This window comes from Homo sapiens, chromosome 19 (assembly GCF_000001405.40).
Source record: "Homo sapiens chromosome 19, GRCh38.p14 Primary Assembly".
NCBI classification, from domain to species: domain Eukaryota; kingdom Metazoa; phylum Chordata; class Mammalia; order Primates; family Hominidae; genus Homo; species Homo sapiens.
Window position 1 is genome coordinate 16,408,719 of NC_000019.10, and position 25,269 is coordinate 16,433,987.

At 51.0% G+C, this 25,269-nt stretch overlaps 1 protein-coding gene and 1 pseudogene across 13 annotated transcripts in view, besides 7 other annotated features; one reads left to right on the plus strand and one right to left on the minus strand.

Annotated features, from left to right (window-relative positions):
- Positions 1 to 25,269, minus strand: part of EPS15L1 (epidermal growth factor receptor pathway substrate 15 like 1) — a 116,766-nt gene that overhangs the window by 53,472 nt on the left and 38,025 nt on the right. For all 13 annotated transcript variants that reach the window (NR_047665.2, NR_047666.1, XM_017027089.3 and 10 more), the window contains 6 exons: positions 19,984 to 20,043; positions 16,365 to 16,598; positions 12,601 to 12,758; positions 9,230 to 9,386; positions 8,834 to 8,919; positions 5,055 to 5,127 (listed from right to left, as the gene is read on the minus strand). Coding sequence is in view for 11 of the 13 variants with exons in the window: in XM_017027089.3 (XP_016882578.1) it covers positions 5,055 to 5,127; positions 8,834 to 8,919; positions 9,230 to 9,386; positions 12,601 to 12,758; positions 16,365 to 16,598; positions 19,984 to 20,043 (768 nt within the window). In the remaining 2 variants the exon portion in view is untranslated. The remainder of the gene's footprint in view (positions 1 to 5,054; positions 5,128 to 8,833; positions 8,920 to 9,229; positions 9,387 to 12,600; positions 12,759 to 16,364; positions 16,599 to 19,983; positions 20,044 to 25,269) is intronic.
- Positions 3,943 to 4,895, plus strand: RPS2P51 (ribosomal protein S2 pseudogene 51; annotated as a pseudogene).
- Positions 8,877 to 8,946: an enhancer, noted in NCBI's record as "active region_14230". NCBI's record gives its function as "activates an Ori minimal core promoter by ATAC-STARR-seq in GM12878 lymphoblastoid cells {active_cell/tissue: GM12878}" and the evidence as "EXISTENCE:reporter gene assay evidence [ECO:0000049][PMID:35858748]".
- Positions 8,977 to 9,026: an enhancer, noted in NCBI's record as "active region_14231". NCBI's record gives its function as "activates an Ori minimal core promoter by ATAC-STARR-seq in GM12878 lymphoblastoid cells {active_cell/tissue: GM12878}" and the evidence as "EXISTENCE:reporter gene assay evidence [ECO:0000049][PMID:35858748]".
- Positions 9,127 to 9,206: a silencer, noted in NCBI's record as "silent region_10299". NCBI's record gives its function as "represses an Ori minimal core promoter by ATAC-STARR-seq in GM12878 lymphoblastoid cells {active_cell/tissue: GM12878}" and the evidence as "EXISTENCE:reporter gene assay evidence [ECO:0000049][PMID:35858748]".
- Positions 9,127 to 9,775: a biological region, named in NCBI's record as "H3K27ac-H3K4me1 hESC enhancer GRCh37_chr19:16528701-16529304".
- Positions 9,172 to 9,775: an enhancer, noted in NCBI's record as "H3K27ac-H3K4me1 hESC enhancer chr19:16528701-16529304 (GRCh37/hg19 assembly coordinates)". NCBI's record gives its function as "activates a minimal SCP1, AML or CMV promoter by ChIP-STARR-seq in naive and primed H9 embryonic stem cells {active_cell/tissue: H9 hESC(naive and primed)}" and the evidence as "EXISTENCE:reporter gene assay evidence [ECO:0000049][PMID:30033119]".
- Positions 11,588 to 12,191: an enhancer, noted in NCBI's record as "NANOG-H3K27ac-H3K4me1 hESC enhancer chr19:16531117-16531720 (GRCh37/hg19 assembly coordinates)". NCBI's record gives its function as "activates a minimal SCP1, AML or CMV promoter by ChIP-STARR-seq in naive H9 embryonic stem cells {active_cell/tissue: H9 hESC(naive)}" and the evidence as "EXISTENCE:reporter gene assay evidence [ECO:0000049][PMID:30033119]".
- Positions 12,192 to 12,795: an enhancer, noted in NCBI's record as "H3K27ac-H3K4me1 hESC enhancer chr19:16531721-16532324 (GRCh37/hg19 assembly coordinates)". NCBI's record gives its function as "activates a minimal SCP1, AML or CMV promoter by ChIP-STARR-seq in naive H9 embryonic stem cells {active_cell/tissue: H9 hESC(naive)}" and the evidence as "EXISTENCE:reporter gene assay evidence [ECO:0000049][PMID:30033119]".

Genomic DNA, 25,269 nt, shown 5'->3' on the forward strand with positions numbered 1-25,269 from the left:
AGAGAAGAAAAAGATGGAGGATGCCCATTTCCTGATTTCAAAACTTTTACAGGGCTGCAGTAATCAAGTCAGTGATGTAGTGGCATGAGGAGAGGCAGATAGGTCAATGGGATAGAGCTGAGGGTCCAAAAATAAATGCACAGCTATAGTCAACTCATCCTTGACAAGGATGCTAGGGCCATTCAACGGGGGAAAGAAGAGGCTCTTCAACAAATGGCACTGGCCCAGCATGGTGGCTCACACCTGTAATCCCAACACTTTGAGAGGCCAGAGTGGGAAGATCCCTAGAGGCCAGGTGTTTGAGATGAGCCTGAGCAATACAGCGAGACCCTGTCTCTTAACAAAAAAAAATTGTTTTTGAATTAGCTAGGTGTGGCAGTGCACACCCTGTAGTCCTAGCTACTCAGGAAGCTGATGCAGGAGGATCCCTTGAGCCCAGGATTTTGAGGCTGCAGTGAACTAGAATCATACCACTGCACTCCAGCCTCGGCAACAGAGCGAGACTGTCTCTAAAAACAAATTTTTTAAAGTAAAATAATAAAAACAATGGTGCCATGACAACTAGATGTCCACATGCAAAACAATGACATTGCATCCCTGCCTTATGCTATATACAAAAATTAACTAGAAATGGATCAAAGACCTACATGGAAAAGCGAAAACTATAAAACTCTTAGAAGAAAACACAGGGATACATCATGTGACCTGAGATTTGGTAATGGGTTCTCAGCTATGACACCAAAAGCAACAGCAGCAAAAAAAGGATAAACCAGACTTCACCAACATTAACAACTTGTGCTTCAAAAGACACCATCAAGAATGTGGAAAGACAATCCAGAGTGGACTCTCAGTGGATGCTGAGAAGGTATTTGCAAGTCACATATCTGACAAGGACTTCTACCTAGAAATGATAAAGAATTCTTCAAATTCAGCTATAGGCCAGGCGCAGTGGCTCCCGCCTGTAATCCCAGCACTTTGGGAGGCCAAGGTGGGAGGATCACCTGAGGTCAGGAGTTTGAGACCAGCCTGGCCAACATGGTGAAACCCTGTCTCTACTAAAAACACAAAAATTAGCTGTGTGTGGTGGTGCACACCTATAATCCCAGCTACTTGGGAGGCTAAGGCAGGAGAATCACTTGAACCTGGGAGGCGGAGGTTGCAGTGAGCTGAGATCGCACCACTGCACTCCAGCCTGGGCCACAGAGTGAGACTCTGTCTCAAAAAAAAAAAAAAAAAAAAAAAAAATCAGCTATAAAAAGAACCCAATTAACCAGGTGTAGTGGCACATGCCTGTAATCCCAGCTACTCGGGAAGCCGAGGCACGAAAATCATTTGAACCCAGGAGGCGGAGGCTGCAGTGAGCTGAGATTGCACCCTTGTGCTCCAGCCTAGGCAACAGAGTGAGACTCCGTCTCAAAAAAAAAAAAAAATGCAATTTAAAAATCGGCAAGAAAAAAATTTTTTCAATATAAAAGGGCAAGGAATCGGAATGATTTTTCTCCAATGACTACATACAAATGGCTAATAAGCACATGGAAAGATACTTGACGTCGCTAGGGAAGCATGAGGGACATGCCAATGAAATCCACAATGAGGCAGTGCTCCACACCCACCACGACGGCTAGAAGGAAAAACGGGAAATGGGTAAGTGTTGGTGAGGCTGTGCAGAGCTGGCACCCTAGTACACTGCTTATGGGAATGTAAAATGGTACAGCCACTTTGAAAAACAGTCTGGCAGCTCCTCAACAGTTACCATGTGGCCCAGCAAATTCACTCCCAGGTATACACTTGAGATAAAGGCAAACAGGTGTTCACACAAAAACTTGCAGACAAATGTTCCTAGCAACAATATTTGCAAAGCCAAAACATCTATCAATGAGGGATGGATGAGTAAAATGTGGCCCATCGTGGCTTGGCATGGTGGCTCATGCCTGTAATCCCAGCACTCTGGGAGGCCGAGGCAGGCAGATTGCTTTGAGTCCAGGAGTTTGAGACCAACCTGGACAACACAGTGAGACCTTGTCGCTGCAAAAAAAAATTAAAAATTAGCCAAGCATGGTGGTGCATGCCTGTAGTCCCAGCTACTCGAGAAGCTGAGGTGGGAGGATCACCTGAGTCTGGGAGGCAGAAGTTGCAGTGAACCAAGGTTGTGTCACTGTACTCCAGCCTGGGCAATGGAGTGAGACACTGCCTCTTAAAACAAAAAATGTGCTCCATCCACACAATGGAATATTATTCTGCCATAAAAAGGAATTCAACGCTAATATATGCTACAATATGGATGACCCTCAAAAACATGATGCTGAGTGGAAGAAGCCAGGCACAAAAGGTCATGTGTTGTATGATTCCACTGACAGGAAATGTCCGGAACTCCAGGTACCTGAGATAAATGCAAACAGGTGTTCGCACGAAAACCTGCAGACAAATGTTCCTAGCAACATTATTCACAACAGCCAAAAAGTGGGAAAACCCAAATATTCCCCGATGGGAGGAACAGATGAAGGAAATGTGCCCCATTGTGGCTGGGTACAAATCCATACACACAGAAAAAAGATGAGTAGTTGCCAGGGGCTGGAGAAAGGGGAGAATGGGAAGTAACTGCTTAATGGGGATGAGGTTTCCTTTTGGGTTAATGGAAAGTTAGTGTCAAACTCTTCCACTCACTGAAAGAGAACAGTTAACGATGAATCTTTCAGAAAGTAACCTTCCATTTACTGTTCAGGGCTAGATGTTTTTATGGGCCTACTGGCGCCTACGGGAGAAACAATCAGGTTCTAACTCGATAGAGTGATGGTTAATCAACACGGTGATTATGCGAAACACCACTGAAATGTACACTTTAATACAGCACATTTGACATTAATTACATAGCCATCCTTCAGATTGGTATTAAAATTTGCAGATGCTCAAGTGTGACATAAAACGGTTCAGTGTTTGCATATAACCTACACATGTCCCCTACCCTAGCACCACCCCATATTACTTATTCATTTATTTTTGAGGCAGGGTCTCACTCTGTTGCCCAGGGTGGAGTGCAGTAGTGCAATCACAGCTCACTACTGCCTTAAACTCCTGGGCTCAAGTGATTCTCCCACCTCAGCCTCCTGAGTAACTGGGACTACAGACACATGCCACTACACCCGGCTTTTGCAAATATTTTTGTAGAAACAGGGTCCCACTGTGTTGCCCAGGCTGGTCTCAAACTCCTGGGCTCAAGCGATCCTCCGGCCTCGGCCTCCCAAAGTGCTGGGATTACAGGTGTGAGCCACTACAGCCAGCCTCGTATACTTTAAATCATCTCTAGGTTATTTATAATACCTAATATAATGTAAATGCTATGTAAATAGTTATCATATTGTATTGTTTCATCAATTTGGATTATTTTTTATTTTTTTATTTTTTTAATCTGTGGTTGGTTAGATCCAAAGATGCAGAACCCTTGGATACAGAGGGCCAACTTGTCTCAATTTTAGAAAAAGAGAAGCCACCGTCTATGGTTATAAGCAACTTTAAAAACTTTAGCCTGTAATTCCAGCACTTTGGGAGGCTGAGGCAGGCAGATCACGAGGTCAGGAGATTAAGACCATCCTAGCCAACATGGTGAAACCCCATCTCTACTAAAATACAAAAAATTAGCCAGGCATGGTGGTGCGTGCCTGTAATCCCAACTACTTGGGAGGCTGAGACAGGGGAATCGCTTGAACCCAGGAGGCGGAAATTGCAGTGAGCTGAGATCGTGCCACTGCACTCCAGCCTGGCAACAGAGCAAGACTCCATTTTTAAAAAAAAAGAAAAAAAAATCTTCACTCTCGCCAGGCTTGGTGGCTTACACCTATAATCCTAACACTTTGAGAAGCCAAGACAGGAGAATCATTTGAGCTCAAGAGTCTGAGACCCCATCTCTATTTGGAAAAATATATATATATATATTTTTAAAAACTTCTTCTTCTCCGAGAAAACACCGAATGGCGGATGACACCGGTGCAGCGGGGGGTGGGGGGGGGGGGGGTGTCAGAGGCCCTGGGATGGGCAACCACAGTAACTTCCACGGAGGTTTCAGCAGTGGCATCTGGGGCTGGGGTCGCGGCCGTGGACAGCACCGGAGCCGGGACCAAGGCCACGGAGCTTGCAGAGGCAAGGCCGAGGATAAGGAGTGGATGCCCATCACCAAGCTGGGCCGCCTGGTCAAGGACATGAAGATCAAGTCCCTGGAGGAGAGCTATCTCTTCTCCCGCCCATCAAGGAATCTGAGATCATTGACTTTTGCCTGGGGGGCTCTCTCAAGGATGAGGTTTTGAAGATTATGCCAGTGCAGAAACAGACCCGCGCCGGCCAGTGCACCAGGTTCAAGGCGTTTGTTGCTATCGGGGACTACAATGGCCACATCGGTCTGGGTATTAAGTGCTCCAAGGAGGCGGCCACTGCCATCCGCAGGGCCATCATACTGGCCAAGCTCTCCATTGTCCCCGTGTGCAGAGGCTACTGGGGGAACAAGATCAGCAAACCCCACATTGTCCCTTGCAAGGTGACAGGCCACTGCAACTCTGTGCTGGTGTAACTCATCCCCACGCCCAGGGGCACTGGCATTGTCTCAGCACCTGTGTCCAAGAAGCTGCTCATGATGGCTAGTATCAATGACTGCTACACCTCAGCCAGGGGCTGCACTGCCATCCTGGGCAACTTCGACAAGGCCACCTTTGATGCCATCTCTAAGACCTACAGCTACCTGACTCCCAACCTCTGGAAGGAGACTGTATTCACCAAGTCTCCCTATCAGGAGTTCACTGACCACCTTGTCAAGACCTACACCAGAGTCTCCATGCAGAGCACCCAGGCTCCAGCTGTGGCTACAACATAGGGTTTTTATACAAGAAAAATAAAGTGAATTCAGCCTGAAAAAAAAAAAAACAAAAACTTCATTCTGCAGCCCCCAAGAGCTCATGTTTCCATCCAGGGCAGACCCCTGCCCTTCCCCACCACCAGCCAGGGAGGGAAGTTTTCCTGAACTACATTTAGCACAAAGTAGATGTAACCAAAACGAACGAGACCCTTACCTGCACCTCGCTGGTTTTCTGTCTGATTGCCTCTTCCTTTTCTCGAATGTCTTGTTCCAGTGAATATTTCTCTCTGAATGTTTAAAAATATTTCATGAAAACAAGAGTGAATAATAAGCCTCCACCCCTTCCCAAGGCCTGATTCTGTTCACCCCCACAAAAGCCCCTCTGTGTGCTGGCAGAAGTCTAAGAATGAGACCCAGCGACTGCTCGCCCTGTACAGTCCCTTCCCCGTCAACTGTAGGTAGGACCTGTGACCATGGGAGGGATCGCTCCCAATGTAACCACCCTCTAAAAGCAGCGCGCTTTCTCCACCTGGTTGCCCAAGTGGAAGTTAGAGATGTCCCAAGTGTGATAAGGACCCAGAGCGCCCTTGCTGACTTTGAAGGTGGAGGGGCCACGTGAGGGGGAACAGGGGCAGTGTCCAGGAGCATGGAGTGGCCCTGGCTGACCTCAGAAAGGAAAAAGAGACCTCGGACCCCCAGCCGCAGGGAAATGGATTCTGCCAACACCTGAATGAGCCTAGAAACAGATTCTTCCCCTAGAGCCTCCAACAAGAGCCCAGCCCAGCCGACGCCTTGACCTCAGCCTGTGACACCCTGGACAGCCCAGGACAGCCTGTCTGAACTACTACTTTTTTTTTTTTGAGACAGAGTCTCGCTCTGTCACCCAGGCTGGAGTGCAGTGGCGCAATCTCAGCTCACTGCATCCTCCGCCTCCCCAGTTCAAGCGATTCTCCTGCCTCAGCCTCCCTAGTAGCTGGGACTACAGGCACGTGCCACCACGCCCAGCTAATTTTTGTATTTTCAGTAGAGACGGGGTTTCGCTGTGTTGGCCAGGATAGTCTTGATCTCCTGACCTAGTGATCCGCCCGCCTCAGCCTCCCAAAGTACTGGAATTATAGGCGTGAGCCAACACGCCTGGCCTTTTTTTGGTTTTGTTTTTTTTTTTTTTTGAGACAGGCTCTTGCTCTGTCACCCAGGCTGGACTGCAGTGGCACGATCATAGCTCACTGCATCCTTGACTTCCTGGGCTCAAGCAATCCTCCCACCTTAGCCTCCTGAGTAGCTAGGACCACAGGTGTGCCCCACCAGGCCTGGCTAATTTTTTATTTTTTGTAGCCGAGGTCTCAATATATGGCCCAGGCTGGTCTGGACCTCCTGGGCTCAACCGATCCTCTTGCCTTGGCCTCCCAAAGCACTTGGATTACAGTCATGAGCCACAGCACCCAGCCTTCTTTTATTTTTAAACTGAGATAGAATTCGTGCATGTATTTCCTAGCACTGCTGTAACAAATCACCAACTGGGTGGCTTGGAACAGGAAAAATTGATTATAGGTGTGAGCCACAAGGCCCAGGGTTTAGTGCCCTTATAAGAAGGACCCCAGAGAGCTTCCTTTGCTCCTTTTGCCCTGTGAGGACACGGCAAGAAGGTGACTCTCCAGGAATCAGCAAATGGGTCCTCAGCAGACCCGATCTGCCGGTATCTGGAGGTTGGACTTTGCAGCCTCCAGAACTGTGCGAAATGTCTGATGTTTCAGTCACCCATTCAGAGTGGTTTGTTATAGCAGTATGAATGGACTAAGACCCTCCTCTTGTGCCCAAAGAGGCTGCCTCAGGGACAGGAACACCATGTGTCTAACAGACCCTGCCTCCTGCCCAGGGACCCAGGACTTGTGCAACAATAAGGCCCTCTCAGGGACATGTCGCCAGACACACAGTAAGTGATCATTGGAATATTCATTTCCACAAGCCCAGAAACTTACAATACAAAGTGCTCTTTAAACTGAAGGACCTGACATGCCCTTGCTGGCTTATGGCAGTGTGAAATCATAAGAGGAAAGCTCAGCCCACACTCCCCGAATCAAGGGCCACTCTCAGAGCCACCTGCTCAAGGGGCCACTGCAGGCCCCAGCCTCCTACAGATGGGCACTCTGCACACACCAGCCTGTCACCTCCACATTGGGGAAACAAGGCTTCTGGCTGTCTGAGGCCACACTGGGGTGATTCACGCCCCAGCGTCCCTTCCTAGACCCTGACCCTTGCACGACAGGGGCTCCCTCCATCCTTGGCCTGCCCGGTCCTGATTCTCAGGCCTGCCCAGGCTCTAGGATGCTGGCCCTGCATCCTCAAGACACCCTCAGCCTTGTCAGGCTGCACATCCTTGCTGATCGCCAGTTTGGATAACACGGCCCCCAGGAGCTGAGACAGAACAGGAACCATCTGCTGCACTGAACATGAAGTGGGATGCCTGACTCAGGCCGTGGCTCAGGTTTTCTAACCAGCCACCCACCTTGATCCCCTCCAAGACCTAACCTGCCTTTGCTCATCAGGGCTCTGCTAACAGCACAAAACCAAGGCCAGAGGAGCTGATAGAATACTGCACCTGTTAATATGACCCCCGGGGATCCCCCAGCTAGGACCAGGATCCATCCTCCCTGGGAAAGTCAAAGCCCTTTCCATTTTCAGCCAAGTAAACAATCTCTTTCCCACAGAGGGCAAAGCACCTTTGGGCCCTTCTGCATGGTGCCCCGTCATCACAAGAGTCCACCCTGTCCTAGAATCGACTGGAAAAAAGATGCTGGCTGGCACAGTGGCTCACGCCTGTAATCCCAGCACTTTGGGAGGCCAAGGCCAGAGGATCACTTGAGCTCAGGAGTTCGAGACCAGCCTGGGCAACATGGCGAAACCCCATCTCTACAAAAAATATAAAAAAATTAGCCAGGCATGGTGGCATGCACCTGTACTCTCAGCTTCCTGGGAGGGTGAGTGGGAAGATCACTTGAGCCCAGGAGGCAGAGGCTGCAGTGAGCTGAGATCACACCACTGCACTCCAGCCTAGGTGACAGAATGAGACTCTGTCTCAAATTAAAAAAAAAAAAAAAAAATCTAGCCAGCATGGTGGTGCGTCCTAGCTACTCGGGAGGCTGAGGTGGGAGGATTGCTTAAGCCTAGGAAACAGATGCTACAGTGAGCCATGATCACACCACTACGCTCCAGCTTGGGTGACAGAGCGAGACCCTGTCTGAAAAACAAACAACAAAAAAGGATGTCATTCTTGAAGAGGATCCAGAGGGGAATACAGGAAGTGACTGCATTTCTTTATACCAGACTCTAAAAGTACAGACAGCCCATCCAAAGCCCTCGTTTACACATGAGGAAACTAAGGCACTAGGCAAGAAGGGGAGCCACAGACCTGGAGGCCCCTTCACACCTTCAGCTGCTGGGTCCTAAGCCCGCTCCTCGCCATCTGAGACCCAATTGCCCTAGCTGTCAAGGATAACAAGGCCTTCCTAGCACTGGGGAGGGGCTGATGCCTGGGGCTACTGAGCTGCGACCTGCCTGAGACCACAAAGCTGCCACAGGCTCTGCCCATGACCTGCCTGGGACAACACAGCTGCCACAGGCTGTGCCCATGACCTGCCTGGGACCACACAGCTGCCACGGGCTCTGCCCACGACCTGCCTGGGACCACACAGCTGCCACAGGCTCTGCCCACGACCTGCCTGGGACCACACAGCTGCCACCCACAGGCTCTGGTCAAGACCTGCCTGAGACCACACAGATGCTACGGGCTCTGGCTGAGGCTGATTCAAATGGAAGATGTCATTCTTCAAGCCCCTTGAGCCAGTTTAGGACCTCAGAAGCTGTATCTTTTCCTTCCTTCTGAATAAACCTGTGATGAGCAAACTTCCAGGTGAGCCTCTGATATTTCCGATAACAACCTGGGAGAGTTCGTGTAACATCTGGATGTGGAGGGAAGGGCCGTTTCCAACATACCTTTGTAACTGGGCAATCTCTTGACTGATGTCATCAAGCTCCTTCACGCCAGTAAACTCCCCGGAGCCGAGAGAGCCTGAACTGTCCTAGAATTGAATTCAGAGGCGAGATCTCTAATTAGCAACCTGACATCACCTGACAGGAGGCACCAGCAGTTCTCGGGCCCAGGGATAAAATTGTCCCTTTAGTACACAGGGTGAGGTAGCAAAAGTGTCAGCCCCCTGCCTGGGGAAATACCTGGGCAGCCAAGCCACCCTCCCGGGGGCCCCTGTTGAGGAAGGCAGGGACCACAGGCAGCACCCGCCACCGTGGGCTCATGTGTGCCACCAGTGCCACCTGGTGGCAGGCGGTGGGAAGGGATGTCAATACCCCCAGGGCATGACCAGCACCACTCACCGGGCCGGGCGTGCCTCTCTCCGAAGGCGGGACCATGTCCGGCGAGAGGACTTGAGGAGGGTCGATGCCTTTACTGACCTTCTGCTGAATGAAATACATAGCTAACGCGAATTGGTCTTTGCTTAACTTCCCCGTTTGCCTCGTATCGGCCAGGGCCCTGGGAGAAACGTGGGGATGCTAATTACACATCACAGGCGCCGACTCAGCCTGAACCCAAGTCACCGATCCCTTGCTTTTCAAAAACGACAGCGACGAAAACAACGGCAGGGCGTGGTGGCAAGCCCCAGCTCCTTCCCTACTTCACATCTCCTTCCCAGGAAGTGGCCCAGGGGTTCCCCGCTCCCAGTGTCCCCCACCCTAGGAGGGCTGTCAGGGCTGAAGAACCCCAAGCCCCTGACCTGGGCTGAGGAGCCGACCCCCTGGGAAAACCTCACTAGGGCTGAGATGCAGCTGCCTCTTCCTTTGGCTTATCTCGTGCGTGGGGCAGGCTCTGATGCTGCAGGCATGGAGTAGACCAGCCCTTCCGTGGAAATGGGTGCTGAGACCAAGCATTGTCCCTGTAGCTCTGGGTCATCTGAATGGCCCCGGCTACTGGCCTTCAATGGGGATGACAGCAGCACTTTGGGGTGTCATCATGATGAAGAAAGAATCAGCAACGACTCTCTTTCCTTGTTATGAACGGAACGTTTATGTCCCCCCAGATTCCTATGTCCAAATCCTATCCCTCAATGGGATGGTGTTGGGAGGTGGGGCCTCTGGGAGGTGATGAGGTCATGAGGGTGGAGCCTCAGGAGTGGGATTAGTGCCCTTATAAAAGAGGCCCCAGAAGGCTCTCTCTGCTCCTTTTGCCATGTGAGGACACGGCAAGCAGGTGGCCGTCTACAAACTAGGCAGTGAGCCCTCACCAGACACTGGATCTGCTGGTGCCTGGATCACAGACTTCCACCCCCCAGAGCCGTGAGAAATGTCTGTTTCTAAGCCACTCTGTCTATGGCACTTTGTCACAGCAGCCCAATGGTCTAAAACACTCCTCTTGTGCCCAAATGAGGCTGCCACAGGGGCATGGCCACAATGCACAGGACAGTCCCCCACAACTAAGCGTCCCCTGCCCACATAGCTCTTGGATGTCCTGAAAGATGGGCCAAGGCAGCATCTGAATAGCAGCACACAGTGGTCCTGTGGAGCTGAGGTGAGAGGCTCCGCGACACTCACAATCAAGGAGCCAGCCAGGGCCGGGTGCAATGGCTCATGCCTGTGTTCTCAACACTTTGGGAGCTGAGGCGGGCAGATCACCTGAGGTCAGGAGTTCGAGACCAGCTTGGCCAACATGGGGAAATCCCGCCTCTACTAAAAATACAAAAATTAGCCGGGCATGGTGGCGCGCGCCTGTAATCCCAGCTGCTCAGGAGGCTGAGGCACGAGAATCACTTGAACCCAGGAGGCAGAGGTTTCAGTGAGCCAAGATTGCGCCAATGCGCTCCAGCCTGGGCAACAGTGAGTCTCTGTCTCAAAAAAAAAAAATAAAAAAATGAGGAGCCAACCAGGAAGGGAAGGGACCCTTGTGGAGTAAGGACAAGGCCTTTGGCATCTATGAAAAATGTCTTCCTTCACCCATGCTGCCCTCTCAACGAGGGACCTCGTTTCCCACCTCCCGTGTAGCTGCGGCAGAAGCCATTACAACAGAAGTTTCCCCTTTTACCAAAAGAGAGCTGGGACCGTTCTAACAGACTTATTTATACCCAAATGCAGTCCGTGAACAGAGCTGCGGAGAATGAGCAGATCTCAAAGAACATTGCTGATAAATGCCTAGTTATCCCCACAGTTCGAGGCCCTGACGATTTCATACTGCCACTGTCTCTCCCCAGTCTGCCCCTGCGGGCCCCAGCCTGCTCGTGGGCTGCAGCTGCCTCTCCACTCCCGCCCCTTCTCTGCTCCTGCCATCTCTCAAGGAGTGTGGGCTCCAAGGCCCACCTGTGGAAGGTTCTGAGAGAAAGAAGGAGAAGCAAGCTTAGGGGTGGCTCAGTCAGCGGCCATCCGGCTCTGACACCACATCCTGCTCTGCTGACCCGTACGGTGGCAGCCATCGCAGGGAAAAAGCCTCTGTCTTCATGCTCCCCCTCCTCCCAGTCCCTCCTGGTGTGTCATCTACATTGGGCCATGCCCCGCCCCAGCCACTCGCAGACACATCTAGACTTCTTTTCTCATGGTTATTCAAGAGCCTGATCATCCTTTCCTTCCCCTTTGCTGCCCGCATGGAATGACCTCTGAGTTCCTTCTTTTGATCCAGGTGGATTAGTGATTTCCTGTGTCATTTCCATGTCATTACATCATGTGTCAATTGCAGCATGCATTATAAATTACTTTCCCTCTACTGACCCCTAGACATGACAGTCAGGGTGTCAGGGCGCTAACCAGGAACTGTATGTGTGTTGGTTTCAGAGTCATAAAGGGGACACTGTGTTTTGTTGGTTTCTAAAAGGGACACTGGATCTGAGGCAGCTGAGACCCACTGTCCCTAGCCAGTTGGAGGCGGCTTGGCCATTTGGGTGATGACTCTGCGACAGCTAGTTCTCAGGCTCCCACCTCACAGTGTGGTCATCTGTGAATTACCACTAAGGACAGTCATTTCCCCCAAGCCACTAAGTAACATCCTGAATTTCACTGCTCTACTTGGAGGTATTTGCCTCTCGAGAATTATCCAGCAATTCTTTCCTTTTGATAGCTCCCAAGTGAAGCCTTCTCTAAGGCCACAAGGCTCTGAGCAACAAGCTCAAAAGTGACTTCAGCCCTGGCCAGTGGCAAGAGGAGTGCCCCAGCCCTATGAAGTCGGCTGTGTCCAGCCCTGGGGGAAAGAGGGGTTGAGGCCGACTCCTCGACTGGGCTCTGAGGCACTGACAGGGTCTCCTTGTGCTCACCCTCCCGCCAGGAGCCAAAGCACTGGCCTTTCCAGAGCAGGGCCTCCTGCCCCCGCCCTCACCCTGCCAGGCCACTCTGCTAGAGGCTCCAAGGCCCTGCTGCCCGCACCTCCCGGAGGCGGCTGTGACAAAGTCCAGGCCTCCTGTTAGAGCCAGCATCACAGCCAGCAAGAATAGGGCCCAGCTGTGTAAGCAAATGGCCTGGGAGCACTTAAGACGGACCAGAGGCCCTTCCTACTGAAAGACAGTGAACTGACCGTCACGGAGCGCGGGCTTCGAGCCTTGGCACGTGCACCTTGCTCAGCCTCTGTCAGGCCAGGGAGAATAAAGGACGCCAGACACAGCGGAAGCCTGTGACAGGCTGGAGGGGGCCCCCTGACCACCACCCTCCACAGTCTTCACCCACAGGCCCCCTGGAGCCACCCACAGCCACAACTGCCACCTGTCCGGCCTTACCATATGTGTGCTAGAAGGTTCTGGGTGAGGCCCGAGTGCATGAAGATCTCCTTCACCTCCTGGCCACTCACGTAGCCATCCAGGTCCAGGTCGGTCTTCAGGAATATCTCATCAAATCGCATCTTGTCTGCCACGGGCACCACCCAGTTCACTGTTGGCTGAAACAGTTTTTGGCAAAACAGTTAATCTGGAAGCTTTTTATGACCCCCAGACACATGCTTTTTGATGATGGGGCGATTAAAGCACTTCCATGCACATTTGGCATCAAACTCTCCTCACTTCCATGAGCCAAGAGGGCAGATGTGATCCTTGTTCTGTAACTGGCAAAACTGAGGCTGAGACAGGTTGAGGCTGGCTCTGTGAAGCTCACCCAGATGCCAGTCTGCACCTCTCTCCACCCCATCACCCGCTCTCCTTGTCCATCCACCCTGCCACCCAGGGTGTGAGGGAGGCTGTGATCTTCAGGGGATGGGTTCAAGCATGCCAGGAAAGACCCTCCCGAGCACCCACTTGGAAGGACCGTCCCTGGAGAACCGGCCCGGCCACATGCCAGCCTCCCTGGTCCTCCCACTCCTCAGCCCGCAAAGGCTGCCCTACAGGCAGCCAAAGTGTCCTGTCCCAGGACTCTGAAGACCACCCTTCTATGTCCCTGCCCCACTCCTGAGACAACAAAGATACCCCCAAGGTGTGAGTACACACACGTCACTGACAGGTAACAAATGAGACACCACCATCCAAGAGGGCCACCACCCACGAGGCCCCACCAACATTCATGCAGCCCCAACCCCACCAGGGCAGATGGAGCCACGAGCCCAGTGCAGCTCAAAGTTCACAGCCCTGGGGCTGGGTCACCCGCTGCACGTGCGACCCCTCTCGCCACCAGCTCACAGTTAACTTGAGAGAGGCAAACGCCATCATGGGTCAACCAGGGCCCGGTCACCTCCTGGTTCAGAGGCATTGAGGCCCCTCAGGCACTCAGGGGCAGGCCCCTTCCGTGGCCTACTCCACCTGCATTACCGCGGGCCTTCAATACACCCACCACGCCACAGTTCACGGCATCTGTGTCCTGAACTCTAGACGTGCTTTTCCTCTTCCCTTTTTTTTTAAATATTTACACAAATCACTCCTTTTAAACAATCTCATAATAGCAATGAGAATAAACACCTGATTGAATTATCTAGATGATGAGGGAGTGGAGAGAAAAAGGACAGGCAAATGTGGCTGGAGGGATCGATTGTTCCTTCTCCACGCAGCAACTGTACAGAAAAGCCACTCCACTCCTCACCTTCAATGAACGCCATGATGCCTGAAACTGCCACTCAAAGTCATTCCTCTCAGTTATGAAAGGATTTCTTAGGCTGGGTGCAGTGGCTCACACCTATAATCCCAGCACTTTGGGAGGCTGAGGTGGGTGGATCACCTGAGGCCAGGAGTTTGAGACCAGATTGGCCAACATGGTGAAACCCCCTCTCTACTAAAAACACGAAAAATTAGCCAGGTGTGGTGGTAGGCACCTGTGATCCCAGCTACTCAGGAGGCTGAGGCAGGAGAATTGCTTGAACCTGGGAGGCAGAAGTTGCAGGGAGCTGAGATTGTGCCACTGCACTCCAGCCTGGGCGACAGAGCAAGACTCCGTCTCGGGGAAAAAAAAAGGGGGGGGGGATTTCTCAAAGAGTTCTCACAGTGTTGACAACCCGAAGATGTCCATAGGATTGAGGAGAAGGGACTCATGGTCAAGACTGGGAAACAATGGTTAAACTCGTTTACTCTTCATGAACGAGTCTCCTGTGATGTCCAAATCTAACAGGCTCCTGATACCAACTCAGGGAAATCAGAAAGCAAGCTTGGGAAACAAGGGATACCATGTGACCCAGATCAGCTTAGTTCAGGGGTTTCACGTAGCAAGTATGTGTGATGAAGTACAGCAAGGACTTGATCAAACAATTTATCAAAATCCATGGAGCTAGGCCAGGCACAGTGCTCATGCCTGTAATCTCAGCACTTTGGGAGGCCAAGGCAGGAGGATCCCTCAAGCCCAGGAGTTCAAGACCAGCCAGCATAACACAGCAAGACCCCATCTCTACAAAATAAATAAATAAATAAAATTAGCTAGGTGTGGTGGCATCCACCTATTCCAGCTACTAGGGAGGCTGAGGTGGAAGGATCACTTGAGCCCAGGAGGTTGAGATAGCAATGAGCCGTGATTGCACCACTGCACTCCAGCCAGGGCAGCAGAGCAAGATCCTGTCTCTTATATATTTAAAAAAAAAAAATCTATGGATCTAATTCAAATGATGAGAGTTCAGATGGCAAGAGCAACCTGATTTTTACTTGTGGCATTGTACTGTGTAAATTTTGTGAGCCTTCTCAAGTCTGGTGGACGTAAAGATGCCAATAAAGGAATTCTAATGAGAAATGGGCTTGCTGCCTTTTAAGTCACGGAGCTACAGCAAGCTAACCTCAGAAGCCAGGGATCACAAAGAGGTAACAGGAGTCAGACAAGCTGAGCTGTGGCGGGACACAGAAACAAGGGGGGTTCTGTGTCCCACGGGTCCCAAGAAGAAATTACGTATGAAATTATAGCTCTGGGATGACAAGAGTCCTAATAATACTTGCTGGGCAAACAAAAGGAACTCACTGCCTGATTTCTGGAGCCTCAGAGTATGTTAGCAGCAAGATTCTGATGCCAAATTGACTATAAACCCAACACGGGGCAGCCTTGCCGTGGAGCTGGCTCTCCCAGTGACAGCTGGGCTTTAAGGCCGGCTCAGCAGCCACAGGTCCCAAAGGAAGGATATCAGACCCTGGTGGCTGGAAGTGGCTTCACTCAAACCTGGCATGAGGGCAAAATCGGGTGGCCCTTGGGAGGCCCAGACAAGAGCATTGCTGGCCTGGAGATGAGGAAGTTGGAGTAGGGGGAGCATGTGGACTGTAGGCCCCCAGAAATGCTCGTTTTCATGACTGTGATCCTACCAATGCCGTCGTGGGGGCAGGAGCTATACCCTCCCACCCCACCCCACCAGGGGCCACTGGTAAAATCGGTCTAGTCAGAGGGTCTTGAGAGAACCACCAGAAGATCACTAGAGAGGTGGGTTATGACGCTGGGTGACCTGTGCCTACCAGTGAGTTTGGCCCCACTAGCTTCGTTGCCAGTAAAGTACCTCCCCTAACCTGACTTTCAAAACTCTTGGCAAGAGCTCTGCAGACACAGGCTGGGCACGGTGGCTCACACCTGTAATCCCAGCACTTTGGGAGGCCGAGGCAGGAGGATCACTTGAGCCAAGGAGTTCAAGACCAGCCTGAGTAACATAGGGGAGACCATGTTGAAATAATGAGATAAATGAATACTTTTTTTTTTTGAGATAGAGTTTCGCTCTTGTTGCCCAGGCTGGAGTGCAGTGGCGCGCTCTCAGCTCACTGCAACCTCCGTCTCCCAGGTTCAAGCAATTCTCCTGCCTCAGCCTCCCGAGTGGCTGGGATTACAGGTGCGCACCACCACACCCAGCTAATTTTTTTGTATTTTTAGTAGAGACGGGGTTTCACCATGTTGGCCAGGATGGTCTTGATCTCCTAACCTTGAGATCTGCCCACCTCGGCCTCCCAAAGTGCTGGGATTACAGGCGTGAGCCACCGCACCTGGCCACAAGCATTTTTTAAAGACATTTCATCACAAGCTTGACCGTTCTGGGGTTGCATGTTAAGAACTCCCGAGAAACATCCTACTGTGCTCTGAGAGGGGGCTGTGCCCGCTGAGGGCTCCGTACCTGTGTTTGCTTGAGGCTGTGCTTGGGGGACAGGCTCCCTGTGCTGTTGAGGCTGCTGACGCTGCCGTGGGACGGCGTGGAGCGGAGGCTGTCTTTTGGTGGGGGGCTGGCAGGCAGGACGGGGACGGCGCCAGGGAACACAGTCTTCTTTCTCTTGGAGGGTGGGATGAGGGACGGGGGCAGGGCGGAGGGCACGGGCTCCTTCTCCAGGGCTCGGTACACCAAGTGCATGGCCTGCAGGTGCAAACAACAATGGCACTGAAGGGGCAAGGCTGGGGCCGGGACCATCAGGAGAAGGCAGAGGGCAGCCCTTTGGGGGCTGCAGTGACAGGACACTCTGTCAGGACGCTCCCAAGCTGACCAGAGTGAAAAGAAATCATTCCTCATGAGTTATCTTTTATGTGTAACTTTCCAAGACATGTGTTGAATTATTCCTCGAGACTGAAATGCACACAGAAAGAATCCAATCAAGCCAGACTCCATATGCATCCCTTCACCACTCAGGGAGGCCACCAGCTCCAGGGCTGGCACCTTCCCAGTACTGGATTTGGAAGTCTAAAGACACCAGAAGAGAGACCTGTACTTCAAGACGTTCAGGAGTAGTCCCAGCTACTTGGGAGGCTGAGGTGGGAGGATTGCCTGAGCCCAGGAGATGGAGGCTGCAGTGAGCTGTGATCGCGCCACTGCACTCCAGCCTGGGTGACAGAGCGAGACTCTGTCTCTATAAAACAAAACAAAACAAAACAAAAAACAGTGGAACTGAGGATGCATCCATGAGGCAGGCCACAGCCATAGAAATAAATTCCTTGTGGAAGGCCAACTAATAAAAGTGCAAGGAATGATGGTTTTGATTAGCACATCACCATTTGGCAGCCACCATCATCATAATTAATCTTGCCAGATTAAGGCGAGACTCATCAGCGATGGTGGAACTCTCATGGAAGAGTCTGAGAGTCATGGGTGTTGACCGTATCAAGGCGTGCCCCACATGAGATGAACTGAGCACAGAGGGAAAAAGAGCAACTGCCCACAGGAACCCACAACCTTGACCCACCTTGACCCAGTGATGAATGTCAACATGGCAGTAAGAAGACATGTTGACATCACGTTCCCCCAGGTGGGAGGCCCATGTGGGGCGGGTGTGACCTCCGTGGGATTCCTGTCTCACAAGAGTGCATGACCTGGGTCATCAAGAGGACCTGGCAGCCAGGCCCAGGCCTAGGAACACTCCATAACTGCTGGCCTGTGCTCTTCAAAATGTCCACGTTGAAACCAGGCATGGTGGCTCATGCCTGTAATCTCAGCACTTTGGAGGCCGAGACGGGCAGATCACCTGAGGTCAGGAGTTCAAGACCAGCCTGGCCAACAGGGAGAAACCGCATCTCTACTAAAAATTCAAAAAAAAAATTAGCTGGCTGTGGTGGTGGGCACCTATAATCCCAGTTACTTGGAAGACTGAGGCAGGAGAATCGCTTGAATCCAGGAGGTGGAGGATGCAGTGAGCTGAGATCATGCCACTGCACACCAGCCTAGATGACAGAGTGAGACTCCCTCTCAAAAACAGAACAACGACAACAAAAAAACAAAAAGTCCACGTCAAGAGACACGAAGAGCGATGGAGGAACTGTTCTAGATCCCAGGAAACGAAAGACAAAAGACAACAGGATGTAACACACAGGACTGGGTTCTCTTTAGACACAAGGAACATTTTTGGGACAACTGATAAAATCTGAGTAATATCCTGGGATTAGATAATAATAGACACGCTCATACAGAATATAAGGGGTATATACAGGATATAATGAAAACATCATAAATGCAATGCTATGATGTGAATTTCCTGATTTTGAAGTGGATAATGGTTATGTGTGAGAGAAGTCCTTGTTTTTAGGAAATACGCACTGAAGTGTTTGTGGATGAAGAGGCATCATGTCTGCAACTTAACCCTAAAATGGTTCACAGGAAAACTTCGTGCAGCAGTGGGAAGGGCGAGAGAGTGATGGAGGGAGGGAGGAAGAAGGGAGGAGAAAGATAAAACAAATGTAGGAAATTAGTGACACTGGGAAATTTGACTGAAGAGTTTTCAAAAGAATTTTCTGTCGGAGGCCAAGGGGGGAGGTCGCTTGAGTTGAGTTCGAGGCTGCAGCAAGGGTGTTCACGTCACTGCACTGGAGCTGGGGTGACAGAACAAGACTCTGTCTCAAAAACAAAAAATAATTCTCTGTATTACAGGTTGCGTATCCCTTATCCAAAATGCCTGGGACCACAGGGTTTCAGTTCTGGAGTTTTCTGAATTTCTGAATGTGTGTATTACACTTACTGGTTCAGCATTACTAATCCAAAAATCCAAAATCTGAAATTCTTCAATGAGCATTTCCTTTGAGTGTCATGTTGATGCTCAAAAAATGTCAGATCTTGAAGCATTCTGGTTTCAGACTTTCAGATTAAGGATACTCAACCTATACTGAAACTTTCCTACATACAAAGAACTATGTCAAGACAAACACTTAAAAAATGAAAGAAGGAAGGCTGGGTGTGGTGTCTCATGCCTGTAATCCCAGCACTTTAGGAGGCAGAGGCGGGCAGATCACTTGAGGCCAGGAACTCAAGACCAGCCTGGCCAATATGGTAAAACCCCATCTCTATCAAAAATACAAAAAAATTATCTGGCTGTGATGGAGTGCACCTGTAATTCCAGCTACTTGGGAGACTGAGGCATGGGAATTGCTTGAACCCAGGAGGTGGAGGCTGCAGTGAACCAAGATTGCACCACTGCACTCCAGCCTGGGTGACAGAGCAAGACTCCGTGTCAAAAAAAAAGAAAGAAAGAAAGAAAGAAGGCTAGGTGCAGTGGCTCACGCCTGTAATCCCAGCACTTTGGGAGGCCAAGGCGGGTGGATCACTAGGCAGGAGATCGAGACCATCCTGACCAACATGGTGAAACCCTGTCTCTACTAAAAATACAAAAATGAGGTGGGCATAGTGGCAGGTGCCTGTAATCCCAGCTACTTGGGAGGCTGAGGCAAGAGAACTGCTTGAACCTGGGAGGCGGAGGCTGCAGTGAACCAAGATTACACCACTGCACTCCAGCCTGTGTGACAGAGCAAGACTCCGTATCAAAAAAAAAAAGAAAGAAAGAAAGAAAGAAGGCCAGGCACAGTGGCTCACGCCTGTAATCCCAGCACTTTGGGAGGCCGAGGCGGGTGGATCACAAGGCAGGAGATGGAGACCATCCTGGCCAAGATCGGGCCACTGAATGCCAGCCTGGCGATAGAGTGAGACTCCATCTAAAAACAAAAAAAAAAAGAAAGAAAGAAAGAAAAGGGAGGGAGGGAAGGAAGGAAGGAAGGAAGGAAGGAAGGAGGGAGGGAGGGAGACAGAGAGAGGAGAGAGGGAGAGAGGGAGGGAGGGAGGGAGGGAGAGAGAGAGAGAAAGAAAGTGAAAGAAAGAAAGGAAGAAAGACAGAAAAGAAAGGAAAAGAAAGGAAAAGGAAAGGAAAAGAAAAGAAAAGAAAAGAAAAAAGAAAAGAAAAAAGAGAGAAAGACAAACGAATCCAGCAACCCCTGCGCACTGCACATTTCCTTCCTGGGCTGGGTGGGGAGGAAACAGCAGGACTTACCACAGCGAACTCATCTCGATCCAAGTGCCCATCCTTGTCAATGTCACTGAGGTCCCAGACCTGCAAGGGAGAGACCAGCATGGGTAACTGTGGGAGGAAGGACTGGGTGAGAGTGAGACCACCTGCCGGAACTCAGACTCTCAGCCGTGGCACTCACTGGGCTCAGGAGACGGCAGTCAATATACATTTCAGGACCAGTCCGCGAGTTCTCAGAAAAACCATCACCTGTGAAGTACTGTCAACTACCAGATCTGTGGTCTGACAATCATCATGATTATAATCATATTGATTATAAGATTATAAGTTTAAAGGCTATACTTTAAACTTACCCTGAGTTTCTTCTTTATTGTCTTACAGAGACATCTTAGAAAAGACAGCTTTGATTGAGTACAGGTGTTGCCCTAAACACCCACACTCCCTATGCTCACTCCTGCAAACCCCACCCCTCCCTTGCATTCTCAGCTGGGCAGGGCTGCGAGCTCATGTCTGAGCAGGTCTGTGGGTCTCGTCTCCACTCCCCAGCAGTGGATGGTGAGACAGGTGTCAGGCCACTCAGTGCGCTGAAGAGAAGGCAGGCAGGCGTGGGTTCTGGAGCGTGCCTAAGACACGTGCAGATCTCAAGCACCATCACGCTGCCAGCTTCCTGACCCATGCCAGCCTTCCTGGATGGGCACACTGCCTGCCAGGCCAACGCTGGGCAGGCTGCCAGTCCCCGGATCTAAGCAGATGCCCGTGGCTCTATCCATGATGCTTCATGTGTCAGCATCACCTCTCTCCAGCCAATCACCAGGGCTTCAGTCCATGCAGGTTTCTCACATCTGGTCCTCCTCTCCACCTCTGCTGCTGCGCCCGAGGCTCAGGCCTCACCAGCCCACACAGCCAAGAGCCTCCAGCTGGCCTCCCTATCCCAGTCTTGTCCCTATGGCTACCACAGGAACTGCTCCAGAACACACACCTGACCCTGCCCCACCCTGCTCCTCAGCCTGGCAGATGGGGCCCTGTCACCTGGCTGCTGCTGAGCCCCTGACGGTAGCAGGTCCCTGCACCCCAACCCAGCCTCCACAGACTCCACGGGGACCTCCACCTACTTTACCAGGGATCCAGGACTCCAACAGGCCTTTCTGGCTCCACAGTCCTCCCTCAGCCCAGGGCTTCCCCACCTCAGCACTACTGCCTGTTAGGGCTGGATCATGCTCTGGGGTGTGGGCCATGCCGTGCACTGCAGGGTGGTGAGCAGCATTCCTGGCCTTGACCCACCAGATGCCAGCAGCACTCGACCCAGGTGTGACAACCAAAAATGTCCCCAGACATTGCCCAATGTCCCCTGGGGGGTGGAAGTGTCCAGGGGGAGCTGTGGCCCTAACTGGCATGCCAGACTGCCTGAGGCCTCTGTGCCTTCACTCAAGTTGCCCACATGCCCAGACTTCTACCAGAGTCCCCCTCACCCTGGAGGATGTGACCAGGGGCACCTCTTCTAGAAAGTCTTCCCCAGCTGCCCTGCTCCCCGTGCTCGAGTGGGTCAGGGGCCCTCCCCTCCACCACTGCCCTCACTGGGCCAAACTGTGATTATCAGGGATGCTGTGGGGGTGTCTAATGGACAGGGCAGGTGAAGAGGGCAGGCTCTAGGGACAGCTGCTCCAGAATGCACACTGGACCCTGCCCCGCCCTGTCCACAGTAGGACCTCATCCCTTCTCCACCCTTCCACAACTGTGCAACCAAGGTGACTTCCCAACCACCCTGAAGATCTGCTTCGCCATCTGAAAAATGGGTGGTGGAGGGGTGTGAGACACAGTCCTTAACAGGAGGGCTGCAAGTGCTGGATGTGTGTCTTCACGCAGAGCACTAGGGCCCGGCCTGCCCATACTAAGCCCTCAGTAAATAAGTCTCAGCCTCTTAGCTATTACTTATTTGACTTCTTTGACGGTATCTAATTATCCCCACCTTCCCACTGCCCAGCACAAGGCATGGTCCACTGCAGGCTCTGAAAAATGCTTACTGAATGACTGACCAGATGCACGATGTGTGAGTGCCTGGATGCACAGATGGATGACAGCACGGATGCAAGTGCGCACGGATGAATGTATAAATATGGACACACGGGGACATGGCAGCATAGACATATGGGCACAAAGACGCATGCACAGATGTGGATAAATACATTGCATGGGCATGTGCACACACAGATGAATGGATCATAGGGATGCGGAGGGACATGGGTGCATAGATGCATGGATACAAAGATGTATGCATGGCCGGGCACAGTGGCTCACGACTGTCATCCATCCCAGCACTTTGGGAGTCCAAGGCAGGCGGATCACCTGAGGCCAGGAGTTCGAGACCAGCCTGGCCAACATGGTGAAACCCTATCTCTACTAAAAATATAAAAATTAGCTGGGCGTGATGGGGTGCACCCGTGTTCCCAGCTACTTGGGAGGCTGAGACAGGAGAATTGCTCGAACCAGGGAGGCGGAGGTTGCAGTGAGCCAAGATGGTGCCAGTGCACTCCAGCCTCGGTGACAGCGAGACTTCATCTCAAAAAAAAAAAACTTTTTTTTAATAAATAAATAAATAATACTTATATTTATGGTTAGATAGAAGGTATACATTCTTTTTTTTTTTGAGACAGAGTCTCACTCTGTCACCCAGGCTGGAGTGCAGTGGTATGATCTTGGCTCACTGCAACCTCTGCCTCCCAGATTCAAGCGATTCTCCTGCCTCAGCTTCCCGAGTCGCTGGGACTACATGAGTGTGCCACCATGCCCAGCTAATTTTTGTATTTTTAGTAGAGATGGGGCTTCACCATGTTGGCCAGGATGGTCTTGATCTTTTGATCTCGTGATCTGCCCGCCTCGGCCTCCCAAAGTGCTGGGATTACATGCGTGAGCCACCGTACCGGGCCAGAAGGAATAAGTTCTAAAGTTCAACAGCACAACAGGGGAACTATAGCTAACAATAATTTATCATATCTTTCAGAGTCTTCCAGAAGAGAAGATTTGAATGTTCCCAACACAAAGAAAGGATCAGTGTTTGAGGTGATGGATATGCTAATTACCCTGCTGGGATGATTACACATTGTGTGCATGTATCAAACCACCACGTGGACCCCACACTACAACTATTATGTATCATCAAAAATAAAAATAATGAAACGCAAAATAAAGCAAAACACGGTTGACTCTTGAACAACATGGTTTGTTGAACTGTGCAAGCTCACTTATGCTTGTATTTTTCTAACCAAACGTGGATACAAAATACAGTAGTCGTGGGACGTGAAACCCGAATATACAGAGGGCCGACTTTTGTATGTGCAGGACTGATTGCAGGACTTGAGTATGCGTACATTTCGGTGTATGATAGGGGCCCTGGAACCAATCCCCCTAAGTATACCAAGGGACAACTGTACTTTTAGTTAACAGAAACAAATTGAGGCTTTTAAAATTAATTAATTTGGCCAGGCACGGTGGCTCACGCTTGTAATCCTTGCACTTTGGGAGGCCGAGGCAGGTGGATCACCTGAGGTCAGGAGTTCAAGACTAGCCTGACCAACATGGTGAAACCCCATCTCTATTAAAAATACAAAAATTGGCTGGGCATGGTGGCTCACACCTGCAATCCCAGCACTTTGGGAGGCCAAGGCAGGCGGATAATGAGGTCAGGAGATCGAGACCATCCTGGCTGACATGGTGAAACCCCATCTCTACTAAAAATATGAAAAATTAGCCAGGCGTGGTGGCGGGCGCCTGTAGTCCCAGCTACTTGGGAGGCTGAGGCAGGAGAACGGCGTGAACCCAGGAGGCGGAGCTTGCAGTGAGCAGAGATTGCGCCACTGTACTCCAGCCTGGGCAACAGAGCGAGACTCTGTCTCAAATAAATAAATAAATAAATAAATACAAATACAAATACAAATACAAATACAAAAATTAGCCGGCTGTTGTGGTGCATGCCTGTAATCCCAGCTACTCGGGAGGCTGAGGCAGGAGAATTGCTTGAACCTGGGAGGAAAGGTTGCAGTGAGCTGAGATCATGCCACTGCACTCCAGCCTGGGTGACAGAGCGAGACTCTGTCTCACAAACAAAACAAAACAAAACAAAAAATTAATTATTATTATTATTTTTTTAAACAGAGTCTCAATCCGGTTGCCCTGGCTGGAGTGCCATGGCACGATCTCAGCTTATTGCAGCCTCGACTTCCCAGGCTCAGGTGTGATTCTCCCACCTCAACCTCTAGAGTAGCTGGGACTACAGTCACGCACCACCACACCTGGCTAGTTTTTTGTATTTTTTTTTCAGTAGGGATGGGGTTTCACCATATTGCCCAAGCTGGACTCAAACTCCTGGACTCAAGTAATCTGCCCGCCCCAGCCTCCCAAAGTGCTGGGATTACAGGCATGAGCCGCCACACCAGCCTAAATTGAGGGTTTTTTTTGTTTTTGTTTTTGTTTTGAGACAGAGTCTCGCTCTGTTGCCCTGGCTGGAGTGCAGTGGTGCAATCTCAGCTCACTGCAATCTCCACCTCCTGGGTTCAAACGATTCTCCTGTCTCAGCCTCCCAAGTGTCTGGGATTACAGGCGAACACCACCACACCTGGCTAATTTTTGTATTTTTTTTTAGTAGAGACAGGGTTTCACCATGTTGGCCAGGCTGTTCTCGAACTCCTGACCTCAAGTTATCCACCCACCTCGGCCTCCCAAAGTGCTGGGATTACGGGCGTGAGCCACCGCACCAGGCTAAGACTTTCTTTAAAGAGAATGCATAAAATTTTTCCTAAATTTGCAGCAGAGTTGAAAATACTTTTACCTTGAGCTTTATCAGAAGAAAAAGAGTAATTAATAGTAGAAAAGAGCCAGGAGTGGTGGTGCTCTTGCAGTCCCAGTTACTCCAGAGGCTGAGGTGGGAGGATGGCTTCAGCCTGGCAGTTCGAGACCAGCCTGGGCAACACAGTGAGACCCCATCTCTAAAAACTCAAAAAAAGAAATAAAAAAGCCCGGGTGTGGTGGCTCACGCCTGTAATCCCAGCACTTTGGGAGGCCGAGGCGGGTGAATCTGAGATAGGAGTTTGGGACCAGCCTGGCCAACATGGTAAAACACCATCTCTACTATAAATACAAAAATTAGCTGGGCGTGGTGGCATGCACCTGTAATCCCAGCTACTTGGGAGGTTGAGGCATGAGAATTGCTTGAACCGGGGAGGCAGAGGTTGCAGTGAGCCGAGATCGTGCCACTGCACTCCAGCCTAGGCAACAGAGCAAGACTCCATCTCATAAATAAATAAATAAATAAATAAA